This window comes from Homo sapiens, chromosome 5, assembly GCF_000001405.40.
Source record: "Homo sapiens chromosome 5, GRCh38.p14 Primary Assembly".
In the NCBI taxonomy this organism is placed as follows: Eukaryota; Metazoa; Chordata; class Mammalia; order Primates; family Hominidae; genus Homo; species Homo sapiens.
Window position 1 is genome coordinate 151,818,567 of NC_000005.10, and position 19,593 is coordinate 151,838,159.

The 19,593-nt window shown below is 42.0% G+C and overlaps 1 protein-coding gene across 4 annotated transcripts in view, besides 2 other annotated features; it reads right to left on the reverse strand.

Annotated features, from left to right (window-relative positions):
• Positions 2,442-2,736: an enhancer, noted in NCBI's record as "tiled region #2380; HepG2 Activating DNase matched - State 5:Enh". NCBI's record gives its function as "activates a minimal TATA promoter and a strong SV40 promoter by Sharpr-MPRA in HepG2 cells {active_cell/tissue: HepG2}" and the evidence as "EXISTENCE:reporter gene assay evidence [ECO:0000049][PMID:27701403]".
• Positions 2,442-2,736: a silencer, noted in NCBI's record as "tiled region #2380; K562 Repressive non-DNase unmatched - State 18:Pol2". NCBI's record gives its function as "represses a minimal TATA promoter and a strong SV40 promoter by Sharpr-MPRA in K562 cells {active_cell/tissue: K562}" and the evidence as "EXISTENCE:reporter gene assay evidence [ECO:0000049][PMID:27701403]".
• The window catches only part of GLRA1 (glycine receptor alpha 1), a 102,339-nt gene continuing 86,692 nt past the window's right edge, over positions 3,947-19,593 (reverse strand). For 2 of the 4 annotated variants that reach the window (NM_001292000.2, NM_000171.4), the window contains 2 exons: positions 10,355-10,501; positions 3,947-4,397 (listed from right to left, as the gene is read on the reverse strand). In NM_001292000.2, the coding sequence (NP_001278929.1) occupies positions 4,107-4,397; positions 10,355-10,501 (438 nt within the window). In that variant the 3' untranslated portion in view covers positions 3,947-4,106. Of the gene's footprint in view, positions 4,422-10,354; positions 10,502-19,593 lie in introns of all 4 variants that reach the window. The other 2 variants (NM_001146040.2, XM_047417105.1) reach the window with 2 other exon arrangements.

The window sequence follows — 19,593 nt, forward strand, 5'->3', positions numbered from 1 at the left end:
TAATAACCCCTTCCATTTCAGTATGTTGCAATTAACTAAGGAAGCTAATTTTCACACAAGACTATTATCAGTGATGGTATCAGTTTAGCTGGGGCATCAGCCCACTCTGTAATCTAATCTAATGCAGCCTCACAAAATACCATCTCTATTTTTTATGATGCTGATAAAGATGTGTACTTTGAAGGAAAGGAACCATCTCTCATATTTATTTTTCTCCCCAGAATGAACAAAATAGCCTATGAAAAATATTGGTGAGCTTTTGAGAGCGATTCATTTCTTATTTATTGACAGTTTAGAAGGAATAATTTGGGTCAAATAACCAACCCTCTTGTTTTTTAAACTCAAACTAAAAATAGAGTTAAAATCAAGATACTACATACCCACATACACGGACATAGATTTTTTTTTCCTTTCTATTCATGCCTGGTCTTGTTCATTCCCTAGAGTCTTAGCCAAGAATGTTTGAAAGGACTAGAGGGTGTCAAAGCTTAGCCATTTATTTTGACTGTTCTTGAATGAGATACATTATACACTAATAAGTGAGAATCAATTAAGCAGAAATTCGGTCTGCTTAATTGGTACCTCCTAGATTTGGCTCCTAGGATTAGCTGTAGTTTTGGAGGGTGAAATCACCAATCCTCTATGCCAGTGTCCAGTTCTCACACCATGTATAAATACTGGTGTGGTCTAGATAAGCAAAGGGTTTGAAAACTGGTAAACCATTCATTGTACCTAAATCAGTTTTTTGGCTACCATACTACTTGGCATCTGTAATCTCAAAGCATAGTATCCCCTGTGCTCAAACTGAAGAGGAAATTAAGAAAGTATTGCGCTGTTCATTGGAGCCACTTAAAGTAATTGGCTTAGCTTATCTGGTTTGACTTTTCCATAAAGATGAAATTCATGTAATTTGTTAAATCCTTACTACATTATACGTTGATGATAATGTCTTTTCCTTGAATATGCTTCCATTCTTAATTCATGATGATATTTTTGACTTTGTAATGATTGATGTCCTTTCCTCACCACCATTCACCAAGTGGGGCAAATAAAAAGGAAATCTGCAAATTTTCCGAAGAAAGGCAACAATGTGTGGGTCCGTATGTTTGTGCATATGTATCCACACATCCATCTTGGAGGATTTAGAAATCAAAGTGACATTATATTTTTGGTTGTGTGAATTTCCTGTAGACTAGCTTAAACACAGAGTCATAGAGCACTTAGAGCTAAGAGGGAGTTTAGATACTATACTACTCTTCACATTGTGTATTTAGAGAAACTAAAGCCTAGTCATTTCCCCAAGGTCACTCAGCCTATTATAGTGGCAGGACTAAAATCCAGGTTCTTTTCATTGCTATAGTCACTCCACTCATGTTGATTTTCCATAAGGGACACTAGTTGAAATAGTCTGAGAGAAGATTTCAGTGACATTCCCTCCTCTGTGTCTCAAAGAGATGATTCAATTATTTGTTGGCTACTGTCAACCTGGCAGCTCCTAGTGGGCCCACAAGGTAAATATGGTGGCAGAAGTTCAAGGACCCAGCAGAGGTTGGGCAAATGGCCCAGTGATTTCTCTCAGATGGATTCCAGACACTACTTAAAAGGAGGCTGGTTTGGAACCTGCAGATTTATGTTTTGAGTGGAGGCAGAATGTCTTAGAACAATGGCATTGTCTTTAGTTTCTGCTGGAGGTCTAGCACGATTGTTGCCTGATTCACTAAGACTTCAGACATTCTGAATTTAGTCCAGTAATGAGTAAAGTAGGAAGAAGGGCTTCTTTAATTTTTTTTAGATTAAAAAATGATTTTCCGTAAATAAAGTGAATAAAGTGCTAGTGAGAGGGCCTCTCCAGAGACTCATGCACCACTTGAGAATGTAGTGCTAATGAAAGGCGCTGACAGCAGCTCGAAGACTGATGTTCTCATCTTGAAGTATAGTAGTTCAAGTCCCTCTTTTAAACTTTTCCTCCTTTGGACACATGTTTGTGATGGGGGAAAGGATGGTTTTAGATGAGAGACTCTCTACCCACTTGGCTCCCATCTCCCAAGATTTCTTAATAAAATAGATTCCAGGTTCTATCTCATATCATCCAAAGCTGTAATACAGTTTAGCTTTTTGGTCTACACAGGCCAAGAGAAGGGAAGGCAATAATTTATTTTCCCCGGACCTGGATGTAAACACCTTTACCATTCAAGCCTCAAAGCCAAACCCTTTTTTGGCTGCATAGTGCATTTTCCTTATGTAAATCTCTTTAGATCTTTGCCATGACCTGCTACTTTAGGCCTGTATTAGTTATTGTGCTGTGGGAATGGGAGAAAATCCTCTATGGGAAGGTGCTTTAGGGAAAAGTTAGGCTTCCAGTGTCTCTTCTCTGCTTACCACTCCTCCTCCATCCTGCCTTAAGTTGGAGATTTTTAAAAGACACATGTGAAACCCCAGGCCTCAGTACAAACTGATTGTCAGCTATCTCAACATTCTACATACACCTTTGATCCAAAGCTCAGACACTAAAGTGCAAAGAAAGAAATGGAACCCCAGTACTCTGGCCATGGGCCAAAGCAGGGAAAATGCTTCAGACAATGGTGCCATTATTTCAGGCATAGTGCTGTTGACATTGGACAGAGAGGCCTGCTGTCTCCACCTTGCAGACCTCCCATCTGTGATATCCATTTCTGTCAGTAGGACCATGCCCACCCACCCCACCCCCAAACTAAATTCGTCTGCTGGTCCTTCTTTTTTTCTGGAGTGCCCTACCTGTCCCAGGACAATTCTGGCACTTCAGAATTAAAAGGAAAGAGAAATACTTGTCTAACTTTCCTAAATGTTAAAGCACCTAAAAGGAAAAAAAACAGACTTACAAAAATATAACGGGGTCAGCCCCCCAAACTTTGCACATTATGATATATGATATGTCAAAATATAACAAACATTTTCTAAACATTACCACATTACCATCTCTCTCCACCCATTTATACCTAATCGGCAGTAGACTCAACACTGCCCTTTCACCTCTTAAAACTTTACTCTGTAGAACCACTAGATAATAAATATATTTCACACCACTGACCCCACCTTCCCAAACATGCACTCAGTTGCAGTTCCAAAGAGACTCTCCAAAAAAATAGTCATTTGAAAAAAGTACCTGTTTACACTCAGTCTATCTGCATATTATCTTTCAAGATTATTACTTTTTTTAACCATAAAAAAGATTGCATATTGGCAATATAATGAGAAAACCACATTGGCCATTTCTGGGTGCTGGTGAAGGGTGAGTGGGGCGTTGTTGAAGCACAGAAGCAAGAGGGCTCAGAGAGGGGCAATTGTGGTCCTCAGCCTTGAGATGTGAGGGTTGAGCTGGGGTTACCTACATTCTCAATCCTTGGCCTCTGAAATGTCCGTCTCTTTAGTCACTCCCTTCTCGTCTCTCTACCTGTCCCCATTTCCACTACCCATTCCCATACCACACAGCCCTCTTGAAGCAGAGGCAAAATGGCTTTTTGGCATGTGTCCGCCTGGGTCAGTTTGAAGACAGGTATGGCGTTTGGAGGGGTATGATATGGGACATACACCAGAGCAAGCTTATTTGTGACTGTTTCCACTCTGGGAAAAATTGTCCGTTACTTCCGTGACTTTAAAAATTTAAGCAGTTACTAGGCTGATAGGTTAAGAAACAAATCTTTTGTTTTTGGGGTTTTGCATTAATATTAAGCATGAATATATATCATATATTACATTACTTTCTTTCTGCTCTGGGGCAGACTGCGCTCTCCTTCCAAACAGGAAAACTGCACAGCCCATGGACAGATTTTTGAAAGCTATTATTTCCCCAATCCCCCACCCCCTGCCCTTACCCCCTCCTTTCCTCCCAGCCCTCAGTTGCTGTATTAGAAAAGTCCCTCCTGACCCCCCGCCCACAGCCCATCTGAGGTTAAATAGTGCCACATTGTAAAATTCATGCATCACTGCATTTTGCTATTGCACATATTGCAGAGAGAGTTGTGTAAGTGTGCCCCCTCCCTCCGTTCCCCTTCTCTTCCTTAGTCTCTCAGATTCCTGTGCTATTCCCACGTTCCCCTCTCCCAGCCTCCCCCAACCTTTCAGACCCTTCACTGGTTGTGGACGTCCTCTCTACGGACAATCTTGTAGATGATCCAGTAGAACATGTTGAAAATGAGGAAGGCCATGGGGAAGCCAATGCGGGATATTTTGTCGATCTTCTTGGCCCTCTGGATGAAGAGTTTTCGCATCTCCTCTGGGGACTTAGATGGTGCAGGAGGGGGGTTGGTGGTGTTACTGTTGTTGGCGCCCTTGACTGAGATGCCATCCTTGGCCTGTAGACAGGCTGGGCCCATCCCATAGGCAGAGAAGTTAAAGCGGCCTTCTCCAGCTTCATCCTCCTGGAATAGATTCAACATGGGGCTCTACTTAAAATAAGACAGGGGCTAGGCACCCTCCCTGCAAGGCACTCCCTTGGGGGCCAGGCCATGCCTATCTGGTTCTCCCTGCTTTCCAGACTGCATCACTCTAGGTTTCTGGAGGCTTTTTGGCTGGCTGGGGAGTTCTGCCTTATAGAGGGGCGCCACTTGCCTGCTGAAACAGATGCAAAACAGGGGATAGGAATGTGGTTTAGAGTCTGGAGACCTGTGTTCAAGTCCCAGCTCTATCAATTGCTGGTTGTATGACCATAGGCAAGTAATTTCCTTCTGTGAGTCTCGGGGATTTTTATTTCATTTTTTCTTCTACCTGGGGGATAAGATTCTCCCCACTACTCCACAAGTTTCTTTTGACCATCAGAGGTTATAATTGAGAACATATTCAAGGTTGTACTGGGTTTTAGTTAGAAATTCAGAGGACAATTTGGACAGATCCCCTGCTTTGCCTCTGTTGCTTCCTTGCCCTCTTCCCCATCCCATTCCCCAGTTAATAACTCCCAGGAGTGGGTGGTAAGGGGGATGGCTATGGGCCAGGATGGAGCAGGAGCTCTGGGCCTCACTTCCGTTCTACAAGCCAGGGAAGCCACAGCTTCTTCCTGCCTCTACGTTCCCACATCCCTGGCAGTTGTAACTTCAGACAGACCTCTGGATTTTTACTAAGTTTTCATTCAAGACCCTTCATCATTTGGCTCCAACTTACCTTTCCAGGCTTTCCTTCTCCCCCACCAGATACTTTGCAGCCCTCCAGGTTTGTACATTTTCTCTTGTGCCTTCTCACGTCCCTTCCTTATGCTCACTACCAAAATGCCTGCTGCCCTGATCCTTCTAGTTCATCTCTTTCCCAGGTCATGGTGGTCTTGCCCTGGTCTGAATCATGGAGGCACTATTGTCTGCTCTCCTCATGTCCAGCTTTGTTATCGTTGCATGTGAGCTCTGAGGAGGAATTGAGAGTCTAATGTTTTGGTCTCAGCTGTTGATTCAATGTTGGCATTGGGAAGTTTTATCAGCTCACATTGCCCAACTAGATAATGCTTTCAGGAAAAGAACACCGTCTTCTGCTTGTTCCTGTGCAGGACCGGGCCAACAGAGAAAAACTCAGTATAGGATTCACTGGTGCCTCTCCATCTCTCCTGTAGGGTAGGCCACCTTCTGATTTGTTTGTTTTGTTTTATCTTGTTTGTAGAGATGGGGGTCTCGCTATGTTGCCCAGTCTGGTCTTGAACTCCTGGCCTCGAGATCCTCCTGCCTCGGCTTCACAAAGTTCTGGGATTACAGGTGTGAGCCACTGTGTCCAGCCCACCATTGCAACAGCCTCCAATCTGCCCCCACCACCCAACCCATCTGAGTCGTTATAACACAGATCTTGGTCATCTTTTGCTTAGAACCTTTTAATAGGCTGCCACTGACTTCAGGTTAATTAAAATCCTGAACATGATAAACAAGGCCTTAGAACCTGGACCCTGCCTGCTTTTGCAGTCTCATCTTGTGCCATTTCTATCTGGTGTTCTATGCTTTAGTCACTGAAATATTTCCTTATATTTGAAAATGTCATGGTTCTTTTCTTGAACTCTGGGCCTTTGTGCAAGTTGTTCTCCCTGCCTAGAACACACTCTGAACCCCATCTCTTGTCTCCAACTCCTCTTTCACCTAATTCTTCCTTAGAAGCCTTCTCTGAGCTCCCAAGTATAGGCTAGCCGCTCCTGCTGTGTGCTCCATAAGCTCTCTGTATATATCTCCGTCTTTTTTTAAAGCTCTTATCACATTGTATGGTAATTTCTTGATTAGCGTCTGTCTCTTACTAGATTATAAGCTCCGTGCAAAGTCTGTCATGTTCACTGCACTCTCAACACTGAACATATGAACATAGTCCCTGGTTCATAAGCTCAAAACTTGGTATATGTTTGTTGAACAAATGTTTACTTGTATATCTTCACCAGCTTTAGTGTCCTTTTTTGTTGTTGTTGTTTGTTTAAATGGAGTTGTATTTTTAGCACCAGAAGGGTTTGAGACATATGGTAAATGCTGAAGAAATCCTTGGAAAATGAATGAATCTTGTCCAACATCTTCATTGCAAAAGTGAGGAGGAAGAGGATGTGCCACCTACAGTGCCTGGCAAACAGGTGCTCAGTAAGTACTTGTCTATGAATAGGGCAACAGTAGAAGATTCAATGCCAGGGCCAAGGAGAGGAGTTGGGGAGAGCCAGCCAAATTGCTGGACCTAGTACTTAGAAGGGGGTCTAAGTCTGACTCTATTGCATTTCAATGAAAATCTCCCCTTGCTGGAGCTGGGGTGTTGTTCTATTTTTATTTTTATTTTTTATTTTAAACTGGGACCTAGTTACGTAGGGGGAAGCACCAAATTAACTTTTTATGCTGCTTTGGGTGAATTATTCTTTGCCTTTCTCATCTGTTAAACATGGGAGTAGGAGGAGTAGAGGTTTGGATTGAAGGCCCCATCTAGCTAGAGGATTATCAATTTCATATTGTGTCTGGGAGAAAAATTCCCTAGGAATGACTGGTAAAAGGCTTGCTATTCTTATTGGAACCAGCAGGTGGCAGGAAATGCATGCCCAACTGCATCTGGAGCTGCTTAGAGCTGGAGCAGGGGAAATCTGGTAGTGTACTCTGGAGCTCAGGGAAGTTGCTAGTAGTATGCCTGCTGAGTCTGGTGCTCACAGATATGGTTTCCTGATAATTTGCCTAAGGAGGCTGGCCAGAGAATTCGAGAACCAGATGCTTTGTGCACAACAAATGAGGCAACATGGGAAGATGGTGGGAGTTGGGAAAGCTGTCCAAGATCACAGGCTCTGAGAAATTCAGGCATGTAGCTAGTTCCTCTCCACTCACCATCTGGGACTTAAAATCCCTTCTGCAAACTTCCTGTTAAAGAGAGTTTCTGCAGAAGAAGCTTGTACACCTCTAGGGTACAAATCACTTCCAGAGCGGCTTACTCTAAGGAAACTATTCTTTATGGTGAGCTCACTTCTGCATCATTGTAATTTCTGACATTTGGGCCAACTTAAGAGCCCTTATGAATGAGATTACGTTAATTCAAATGCATAGAAGGAGGCAGGCAGGAGAAATGTGAGTGGTAAAGTGAGTTGGGGCTGAAAAATATCCCTGGTTAGAAGGGATGGTATTAACTGGAAAATGCATTCCCTACCTAAAGGCAGTTCCAGTGCACCAATACCTTATGGGAAGCACATTCAGTGTGGCTGGATGCTGTGATTTTTTTTCTAGTGAAGCCAGAAGTGTGGTTTTTAAATGCTGACCCCTTAAGTCCAGATTTTAAAAACACTCCAGGCCAAAGTACAGATATTTGCACACCAAATCTGGCCTTCCGGCTACTAGTTTTTGACCTTCGCCATGGGATGAGGCTTAGTTTTTATTTAAGATCTAATAAATGCAGGACAATTTTTATCTGCTTCAGGATGGACACACTGATGAACAGATAAGAACTCATGGTGGTATGGTTAATGTTTGGAGAAGAACCTCGGGTTTTTTAGCACCTCTCCTGCCTTTGCCATCAGTGCCTCATGATACCGGTGACTTGGCCTTGCTATTGTGGGTCTCTCTCATCAGTTGCATGGAAGGAGTGGATAGGGTGATTGCTGAGGTATCTTCAAAGGAGGGAACAGAGCAGGAGAATCTGATCAAATCTAGCTAGTGGCCTTATTCACACTTTATCTGGCCAGAGATAGTGTTTGTTTTCTTTTAGTGTGTCAAACTGGTAGATACTTAGGGAGCGTAGAAGCAGCCTTTGAAAGTACCATAGGCCCACCATACTACATATCTTCAGGAGGCTCCATTCCCATTTTAGTCCATACAAACAGCATCTACTGGAGCTGTGCAGTGCTCAATCAAAGGGGCTGGTGCTAGTAAAATATCTTGGACATGATCTTTTCAAATCAGTGTTTTTAACAAATGTCTCTAGCAGATGAAATTACAAAAAGCAGCTAGTGTATAGGGAAAATGGAAAAATAAAATCTTAGAGATACTTACGTTTGGTCAGTTTCTTTCTTTCTTTCTGTTTTTTTTTTTTTTTTTGAGACAAAGTCACTATGTTGCCCACATTGGTCTGGAACTCCTGGGCTAAAGCAATCCTCTCACCTCAGTCTTCCTAGTAGTTGGGATTATAGGCACAAGCCATCATGCCAGTTGCTTAAATAGACTTTTTTTTTTTTTTTTAAAGCATCAGAGGCTAGGTATTAAATGGACAATATAGAGTAACTAAAACTAGGGGTCATTTAAGAAGTTCTATCTGGCTTGCTGAACCCAAGACAATTTCCTCCTTCAATGTAGTTTAGAAGGATGGTGATATCTTAATTCCCATGGACATCTTCTGTATTGGAACGTCGGCCTCCTCCCTGTGGTAAACTGCCAGAAGTTAATTGAATCAGATTGCTGATGTTTAAGAAACATACTGATGGAAATGTGTGTATATGTAATCATTTTAATCCTTGGCACTTGTGCGGCAGGAACAAAACTTAAAGCTACTTTGGCATCCTCTGATTTAATTCTCACCAGAATTTCCCTTTATACGCATTTTGCACATGAAGAACCTGGGCCCAAGTAGGCTAGCTCAAAGTCTCATACTAAAGAAAACTAAAGAGGCAGGGTCCTTTGTCACAGCACATTGCGCCTGGGCAGACAACTATTTTGTTTTGTTTTATTTTATTTTTGAGCTTTACTGATTAATAGACAACGATTTTAAATAGGTCAGTCTAAAGCTTGTAGGACCTGGCATATTGCAGGTATGTACTGTGACCTGCAACACTATGACAGGTCATAATGTGTGGGTCCCTGGTTGCCCTAATCTGTCAGTGGAAAAACTTCAGACTCTCTGTCTGAAGGCTTCTTCTTTATTGCTTTTAATGGCAAAAACTGCAATTATTTTTGCACCAACCTAATCTTTTGTTTATCCCTTTGTTCATTTGTTTAACAAATACTTATTGCATGCTCACTATATGTTAGGCATTGTGTTAGGCACCAGGGATATAGCACAGAGCAAAACCAAACACGGTCTCTGCCTTTATGGAGCTTGCGATTTGGTGGAAGAGATCGGCTTTAAAAAAATCACATCATTGAATTTATGCTTTTAAATCAGGATACATTTTTAGAAGTTTAGAAATTAAGTTCAAGTAGAACGTGGCATTTGCTAGGACACACAGTGCACTGGAAGAGCAGTACAGGGAAAGAGAACAAGATATTTAAAATCCTGTGTGTATGTTTGAAGAACTAAGAAAAAAGCTAGGGTGGTTGGATCTTCTGGGGAACTAGTTATGGACCCACGGTATGGAGCAGTTTGCTCCAGCAGGCTGCATGCTCCCCATTGGCATTCTTTGGTCAGTGCACAACCTCGTGAACAGAGGTTGGTAACTTCTCAGAGGTGCCCTGTCAAATATTCCTTTATTCAATCCCTCATATGGAGAGAGAACCCACTCTGGCAGAGATCTTGCTTGTTGCCTCTTTCCTAGAGGCAGGAAGCAAAGGCCTGAACCTGGGCATTCTACGTTAAGATCTCACCTTTTGTGGTGCAATTGTCTTCTGGAATCAAGCCTATTAAAACAATGCAGTCTTGCAGAAAAAAGCCAGTGGACACCTCCCAATCTTTTAGGTTTATAGTTAGTTATTTTCTTGACCCCATCAGCTTTTAGTTAATCAGTTGCGCCTTTAGGTATAACTTGATAATTTCTGTAGTGTTACTGTTAGGATTCGAAGAGTGACTGCCTATAGACCCACCTAGGGCATTATTTATGGGAGGGAAAGCTGAGACCTCTAGGTCTTTAATTCCTATTTCTAACCTGCCTTGCACATTGAGAAGGATGGACCATTGAAACAAATAACACAAGACAATACTGCTTAGAACTCTTTTGTTTACTAACAGCTGTCCCTCCTTAGGCAGTGACCCAAAGGCCTACCTTGTGATGTCTCCGCTTCCTCCTGAATCGGAGCAGCTCCTTATGTTGCCGAGACACAAAGTTAACGGCAGCATATTCTAATAGGGCTGAGAACACAAAGAGCAGGCAAACTGCCATCCAAATGTCAATGGCTTTCACATAGGACACCTAGAGTGGGGGTGGAGGAGAAACAGGGAGGTGAAAGCAGGGGAATGTAAAACATTAAGCATGGCGGAATATTTTCTGCTCTTCGGTAATTCCCCACATCACCCACTGCTGTCTGCTTCTCAGCTGGGATATTAGGGTGGAGGTATAGAGGAAAACAGAAAAGAAATGCATCAGACAGACTGGAAAGAATATTGGGGGTAAATAGATTATGGTACCTATGACAGTACTGAAGAGAAGACAATGGTATATTTAGCATTATCATTTAGAACAGAATGCTGTCTTTCATTTAAGGGTGATTGGAACAAACTGTTGTAGTGAGCATTAAAAGTGAATGGAGGATGTCAGCAAAAATGGCATCGTAAGGACCTGAAAATTCCTCCAAAAAATTAATGAGAACACTGGAAAAAATTGTCAGTGCCAACTTTTCAGAACTCCACTAATTACCAAAGGCTTATATCAGTCCTGTGAACATTTATTCAAGAAAATCAGCTGAATCTTAATAAGAACAGCAAGCTTTGTGGCAGTGTTTAAAAGTGTTATTGAGATATAATTCACATACCATACAATTCACACATTTAAAGTGTATAGTTTAATGATTTTTAGAATATTCACACATATGTGCAATCATCATCATCAGTCAATTTTAGAACATTTTCATTACCTCAAAAAGAAATGTTACCTTTTAGCTGTCACCTCTCTATTCCCCCAGCCATAAACAACCACTAATCCATATTTTATATGAATGAAATAATGCAATATGTGGCTTTTTATGATTGGCCTCTTTCACTTAGCATATTTTCAAGGTTCATTCACATCGTAACATGTATCAGTATTTCATTCCTTTTTATGGCTGAATAATACCCTGTTTTATGGATATACAACATTCTGTTTATCCATTAATCAGGTAATGGATATTTAAATTTTCTACCTTTTAGCTACTGTGAGTAATGCTGCTATAAACAACCATGTACAAGTTTCTGCACAGACATGTATTTTCATTTCCCTTGGAGCTTTGTGGTGTTTTGCCCTATTCCTGTCATAATCTATCCAGCTCCATAGTAGCATTGAAAACCAACAGCTGTCTGGAAGCCATTGGATGGAGCAGAACACAGTTGGAGCTTCTTCAATGCCTCATTCCCAGAGAGTTATCATCATTTGATATATCTCATGGTTCCCTCAAAGATGCCACTCACAAGGCTGTCTTTGACCTGATTTGAAGTTTGCCCCGTGTGAACAACCTTTTCTTTGAGGACATTTTTCAAAAGCAATCAATAGTAATTGCCACCTGAGGCAGTTGGGGCAAAATAATAGGTTAATCAAAAAGCTGAAAAAGAAAAGCTGGGTAATGAGTTGTTTATAGGGGGCTTTGGAAAGCTGTGACATATTCTTGGGAAACTGTGTGCAAGCTTAGAGCTGTGTGAATTCCCGGGAAGACTTGAGATGGCTCTAGGCTCTCACCTTTGGCTAACCTTGATAGTCTGAGCAAGCAGGAAGTGGAGCCTGAGTCAAAGTTGTAAACTGCCTCACAGAATGTTTAAGGTAGAGAGCCCCTTGGCAAAGGCTAGGAGACTTATAGTTTCCAGGCATTTAGGAAACCTTTGTCTGATTTTTAGCTGACTACCAACCTGAGCAGAGACTTCAGTAGTCCCACAAAACAAATAATACGAACTTTACGGAATTAATTCAGAAAAGTTACTGAATAGCAACAGCAACAAATCCTGAAGAGAGGGTAGAATTTGATTTTCAAAGTTGCCACATTATATTATTAAAATGTCCAAACTTGGCTGGCAAGATGGCCAAATAGGAACAGCTCCGGTCTGCAGCTCCCAGCAAGATCAATGCAGAAGGCGAGTGATTTCTGCATTTCTAACTGAGGTACCCAGCTCATCTCACTGGGACTGGTTAGACAGTGGGTGCAGCCCACAGAAGGTGAGCTGAAGCAGAGTGGGGTGTCACCTCACCCAGAAAGCACAAGGGGTTGGGGATCTCCCTCCCCTGGCCAAGGGAAGCCCTGAGGGGCTGTGTCATGAGGGATGGTGCACTCCGGCCCCAGATACTACTCTTTTCCCAGTGTCTTTGCAACCCGCAGAAAAGGAGATTCCCTCGGGTGCCTGTGCCACCAGGGCCCTGGTTTTCAAGCACAAAACTGGGCAGCTGTTTGGACAGACACCGAGCTAGCTGCAGTTTTGTTTTTTCATACCCCAGTGGCACCTGGAACCCCAGCAAGACAGAACCATTCACTCCCCTGGAAAGGGGGCTGAAGCCAGGGAGCCAAGTGATTTAGCTCAGCAGATCCCATCCCCACGGAGCCCAGCAAGCTAAGATCCACTGGCTTGAAATTCTCGCTGCCAGCACAGCAGTCTGAAGTTGACCTGGAACACTTGAGCTTGGTGGGGGGAGGAGTGTCCACCATTACTGAGGCTTGAGTAGGCGGTTTCCCCCTCACAGTGTAAACAAAGCTGCCAGGAAGTTCGAACTGGGTGGAGCACACCACAGCTCAGCAAAGCCTCTGTAGCCAGGCTGTGTCTCTAGATTCCTCCTCTCTGGGCAGAGCATCTCTGAAAGAAAAGGAGCAGCTCCAGTCAGGGGCTTATAGATAAAACTACCAACTCTCTGGGACAAAGCACCTGGGGGAAGGGACAGCTGTGGGAGCAGCTTCAGCAGACTTAAACGTTCCTGCCTGCCAGCTCTGAAGAGAGCAGTGGATCTCCCAGCACAGCACTCGAGCTCTGCTAAGGGACAGACTGCCTCAAGTGGGTCCCTGACCCCTGTGCCTCCTGATGGAGAGACACCTCCCTGCAGGAGTGGAAAGACAACTCATACAGGAGAGCTCTGGCTGGCACCTGGCAGGTGCCCCTCTGGGATGAAGCTTCCAGAGGAAGGAACAGGTAGCAATCTTTGCTGTTCTGCAGTCTCCACTGGTGATAACTAGGCACACAGGGTCTGGAGTGGACCTCCAGCAAACTCCAGCAGACCTGCAGCTCAGAGGCCTGACTGTTAGAAGGAAAACTAACAAACAGAAAGGAATAGCGTCAAAATCAACAAAAAGGACATCCACACAGAAATCCCATTTGAAGGTCACAAGCGTCAAAGGCCAAAGGTAGATAAATCCATGAAGAAGAGGAAAAGCCAGCACAAAAAGGCTGAAAATTCCAAAAACCAGAATGCCTTTTCTCTTCCAAAGGATCACAACTCCTTGCCAGCAAGGGAACAAAACTGGACAGAGAATGAGTTCGACAAATTGACAGAAGTAGGCTTCAGAAGGTGGGGAATAGCAAACTCCTCCAAGCTAAAGGAGCATTCTAATCCAAGGCAAGGAAGCTAAGAACCTTGAAAAGAGTTTAGAGGAATTGCTAACTAGAATAACAAGCTTAGAGAAGAATATAAATGACCTGATGGAGCTGAAAAACACAGCGCAAGAACTTCGTGAAGCATACACAAGTATCGATAGCTGAATCGATCAAGCGGAATAAAGGATATCAGAGATTGAAGATCAATTTAGTGAAATAAAGCATGAAGACAAGATTAGAGAAAAAAGAATGAAAAGGAACAAACAAAGCCTCCAAGAAATACAGGACTCTGTGAAAAGACCAAACCTACGTTCAGTTGGTGTACCTGAAAGTGACGGGGAGAATGGAACCAAGTTGAAAACACTCTTCGGGGTATTATCCAGGAGAACTTCCCCAACCTAGCAAGACAGGCCAATATTCAAATTCGGGAAATACAGAGAACACCACAAAGATACTCCTCGAGAAGACCAACCGCAAGACACATAATTGTCAGATTCACAAAGGTTGAAATGAAGGAAAAAATGTTAGGGGCAGCCAGAGGGAAAGGTCAGGTTACCCAGAAAGGGAAGCCCATCAGACTAATAGCGGATCTCTCGGCAGAAACCCTACAAGCCAGAAGAGACTGGGGGCCAATATTCAACAATCTTAAAGAAAAGAATTTTCAACCCAGAATTTCATACCCAGCCAAACTAAGCTTCATAAGCAAAGGAGAAACAGAATCCTTTACAGACAAGCAAATGCTGAGAGATTTAGTCTCCACCAGGCCTGTCTCACAAGAACTCCTGAAGGAAGCACTAAACATGGAAAGGAACAACCGGTACCAGCCACTGCAAAAACATGCCAAATTGTGAAGACCGTTGACACTATGAAGAAACCACATCAACTAATGGGCAAAATAACCAGCTAGCATCATAATGATAGGATCAAATTCACACATAACAATATTAATCTTAAATGTAAACAGGCAAAATGCCCCAGTTAAAAGACACAGACTGGCAAATTGGATAAAGAATCAAGACTCATCAGTGTGCTGTATTCAGAAGACCAATCTCACGTGCAAAGACACATATAGGCTCAAAATAAAGGGATGGAGGGATATATATATATATATTTTTCTTTTGAGACAGAGTTTTGCTCTTGTTGCCCCCCAGGGTGGAGTGCAATGGCACGATCTCAGCTCGCCAAATCCTCCGCCTCCTGGGTTCAAGCGATTCTCCTGCCTCAGCCTCCCGAGTAGCTGGGATTACAGGCATGCGCCACCATGCTTGGCTAATTTTGTATTTTTAGTAGAGATGGGGTTTCTTCATGTTGGTCAGGCTAGTCTCGAACTCCTGACCTCAGGCTATCCACCTGCCTCGGCCTCCCAGCGTGCTGGGATTATAGGCATGAGCAATCGTGTCTGGCAGGATGGAGGGATATTTACCAAGGAAGTGGAAAGCAAAAAAAAAAAAAAAAAAAGCAGGGGTTGCAATCCTAGTTTCTGATAAAACAGACTTTAAACCAATAAAGATCAAAAAAGACAAAGAAGGGCATTACATAATGGTAAAGGGATCAATGCAACAAGAAGAGCTAACTGTCCTAAATACATATGCACCCCATATACACCCAGATTCGTAAGGCAAGTTCTTAGAGACCTACAAAGAGACTTAGACTCTCACACAATAATAGTGGGAGACTTTAACACCCCACTGAAAATAATATTAGATCAACGAGACAAAAAATTAACGAGGATATTCAGGATGTGAACTCAGCTCTGGACCAAGCGGACCTAATAGAAATTACAGAACTCTCCACCCAAAATCAACAAAATATACCTTCTTCTCAGCAACACATCACACTTATTCTAAAATTGACCACATAATTGGAAGTAAAACATTCCTCAGCAAATGCAAAAGAATGGAAATCATAACAAACAGTCTCTCAGACCACAGCACAATCAAATTGAAACTCAGGATTAAGAAACTCACTCAAAACCACAAAACTCCACGGAAACTAAACAACCTGCTCCTGAATAACTACTGGGTAAATAACGAAATTAAGGCAGAAATGAATAATTTCTTTGAAACCAATGATAACAAAGACACAACATACCAGAATCTCTGGGACACATCTAAAGCAGTGTTTAGAGGAAAATTTATAGCACTAAATGCCCACAGGAGAAAGCAGGAAAGATCTAAAATTGACACCCTAACATCAGAATTAAAAGAACTAGAAAAGCAAGAGCAAACAAATTCAAAAGCTAGCAGAAGACAAGAAATAACTAAAATCAGAGCAGAACTGAAGGAGATAGAAACATGAAAAACCCTTCAAAAAATCAGTGAATCCAGGGCTGGTTTGTTGAAGATTAATAAAATATATAGACTGCTAGCCAGCCTAATAAAGAAAAGAGGCTGGGCGTGGTGGCTCATGCCTGTAATCCCAGCACTTTGGGAGGCCAAGGTGGGTGGATCATGAGGTCAAGAGATCAAGACCATCCTGGCTAACACGATGAAACCCCGTCTCTACTAAAAAATACAAAAAATTAGCCGGGCGTGGTGGCAGGCGCCTGTAGTCCCAGCTACTTGGGAGGCTGAGGCAGGAGAATAGCGTGAACCCGAGAAGTGGAGCTTGCAGTGAGCCAAGATTGCGCCACTGCACTCCAGCCTGGGCGACAGAGCGAGACAACATCTCAAAAAAAAAAAAAAAAAAAAAAAGAGAAGAATGAAATAGACACGATAAAAATGATAAAGGGGATATCACCACTGATCCCACAGAAATACAAACTACCATCAGAGAATATTGTAAACACCTCTATGCAAATAAACTAGAAAATCTAGGAGAAATGGATAAATTCCTGGACACATACACCCTCCCAAGACTAACCCAGGAAGAAGTTGAATCCCGGAAAAGGTCAATAACAAGTCTGAAATTGACACAGTAATTAATAACCTACCAACCAAAAAAAGCCCAGGACCAGAAGGATTCACAGCCAAATTCTACAAGAGGTACAAAGAGGAGCTGGTACCATTCATTCTGAAACTATTCCAAACAATAGAAAAAGAGGGACTCCTCCCTAACTCATTTTATGAGGCCAGCATCATCCTGATACCAAAACTCATTTTATGAGGCCAACATCATCCTGATACCAAAACCTGGCAGAGACACAACAAAAAAAGAGAATTTCAGACCAATATCCTTGATGAACATCGATTAGAAAATCCTCAATAAATTACTGGCAAACTGAATCCAGCAGCACATCAAAAAGCTTATCCATGACCATCAATTCAGCTTCATCCCTGGGATGCAAGGCTGGTTCAATATATGCAAATCAATAGACATAATCCATCATAAAGACAGAACCAATGCCAAAAACCCATGATTATCTCAATAGATGCAGAAAAGGCCTTTGATAAAATTCCACACCCCTTCATGCTAAAAACTCTCAATAAACTGGGTATTGATGGAATGTATCTCAAAATAATAAGAGCTATTTATGACAAACCTGCAGCCAGTATCATATAGAATGAGCAAAAGCTGGAAGCATTCCCTTTGAAAGCCAGCACAAGACAAGGATTCCCTCTCTCACCACTCCTATTCAACATAGTATTGGAAGTGCTGGCCAGGGCAGTCAGGCAAGAGAAAGAAATAAAAGGTATTTAAATAGGAAGAGAGGAAGTCAAATTATATCTGTTTGCAGATGACATGATTGTATATTTAGAAAACCCCATTGTCTCAGCCCAAAATCTCTTTAAGTTGATAAGCAACTTTAGCAAAGTCTCAGGATACAAAATCAATGTGCAAAAATCACAAGTATTCCTATACACCAATAATAGACAGAGACCCAAATAATGAGTGAACTCCCATTCACAACTGCTGCAAAGAGAATAGAATACCTAGGAATACAGCTTACAAGGGATGTGAAGGACCTCTTCAAGGAGAACTACAAACCACTGCTCAAGGAAATAAGAGAGGACACAAACAAATGGAAGAACATTCCATGCTCATGGATAGGAAGAATTAATATTGTGAAAATGGCCATACTTCCCAAAGTAATTTATAGATTCATTGCTATCACCATCAAGCTACCATTGACTTTCTTCACAGAATTAGAAAAAACTACTTCAAATTTCATATGTAACCAAAAAAGAGCCCACATAACCAAGACAATCCTAAGCCAAGAGAACAAAGCTGGAGGCATCACACTACCCAACTTCAAGCTATACTACAAGGCTGCAGTAACCAAAACAGCATGATGCTGGTACCAAAACTGATATATAGACCAACGGAACAGAACAGAGGCCTCAGAAATAACGCCACATAACTATAACCATCTGATCTTGACAAAAACAAGCAATGGGGAAAGGATTCCCTATTCAATAAATGGTGTTGGGAAAACTGTCTAGCCTTAAGCAGAAAACTGAAACTGCACCCCTTCCTTACACCTTATACAAAAATTAAGATGGATTGAGGACTTAAATGTAAGACCTAAAACCATAAAATCCCTAGAAGAAAACCTAGGCAATACCATTCAGGACATAGGCCCAAACAAAGCCTTCATGACTAAAACACCAAAAGCAATGGCAACAAAAGCCAAAATTGACAAATGGGATCTAATTAAACTAAAGAGCTTCTGCACAGCAAACAACAACAACAACAACAAAAAACCAAAAAACTATCATCAGAGTGAACAGGCAACCTACGGAATGGGAGAAAATTTTTGCAATCTATCCATCTGACAAAGGGCTAATATTCAGAATCTATAAAGAACTTAAACAAATTTATAAGAAAAACAACCCCATCAAAAAGTGGGCAAAGGATATGAACAGACACTTCTCAAAAGAAGACATTTATGCAGTCAACAAACATATGAAAACAAGCTCATCACCACTGGTCATTAGAGCAATGCAAATAAAAACCACAATGAGATACCATGTCATGCCAGTTAGAATGGCCATCATTAAAAAGTTAGGAAATAACAGATGCTGGAGAGGATGTGGAGAAATAGGAATGCTTTTACACTGTTGGTGAGAATGTAAATTAGTTCAACCATTGTGGAAGACAGTGTGGCAATTCCTGAAGGATCTAGAACTAGAAATATAATTTGACCCAGCAATCCCAATACTGGGTATATACCCAAAGGATTATAAATCATTCTACTATAAAGACACATGCACACGTATGTTTATTGCAGCACTGTTCACAATAGCAAAGCCTTGGAACCAACCCAAATGGCCACCAATGATAGACTGATAAAGAAAATGTGTCACATATACACTATGGAATACTATGCAGCCATAAAAAGGATGAGTTCATGTCCTTTGTGGGGACATGGATGAAGCTGGAAACCATTATTCTCGGCAAACTAACACAAGAACAGAAAACCAAATACTGCATGTTCTCACTCATAAATGGGAGTTCAACAATGAGAATACATGGACACAGGGCAGGGAACATCACACACCAGGGCCTATTGGGTGGTAGGGGGCTAGGGGAGGGATAGCATTAGGAGAAATACCTAACGTAGATGATGGGTTGATGGGTGCAGCAAACCACCATGACGTGTGTATACCTATGTAACAAACCTGCATGTTCTGCACATGTATCCCAGAACTTAAATAAAATGTCCATTTTTAACAAAAATTCTAAGACATGCAAAGAAAGAGGAAAGTATGGCTCATACATAGGGAGAAAAGTAGTCAAAAGAAGCTGTCCCTGAGGAAGCCCAGATGCTGGACTTAATAGACAAAGACTTTAAATCAGTTATTTTAAGTATGTTCAACAAACTAGAGGAAACTATGTCTAAACAACTAAAGGAAAATATGA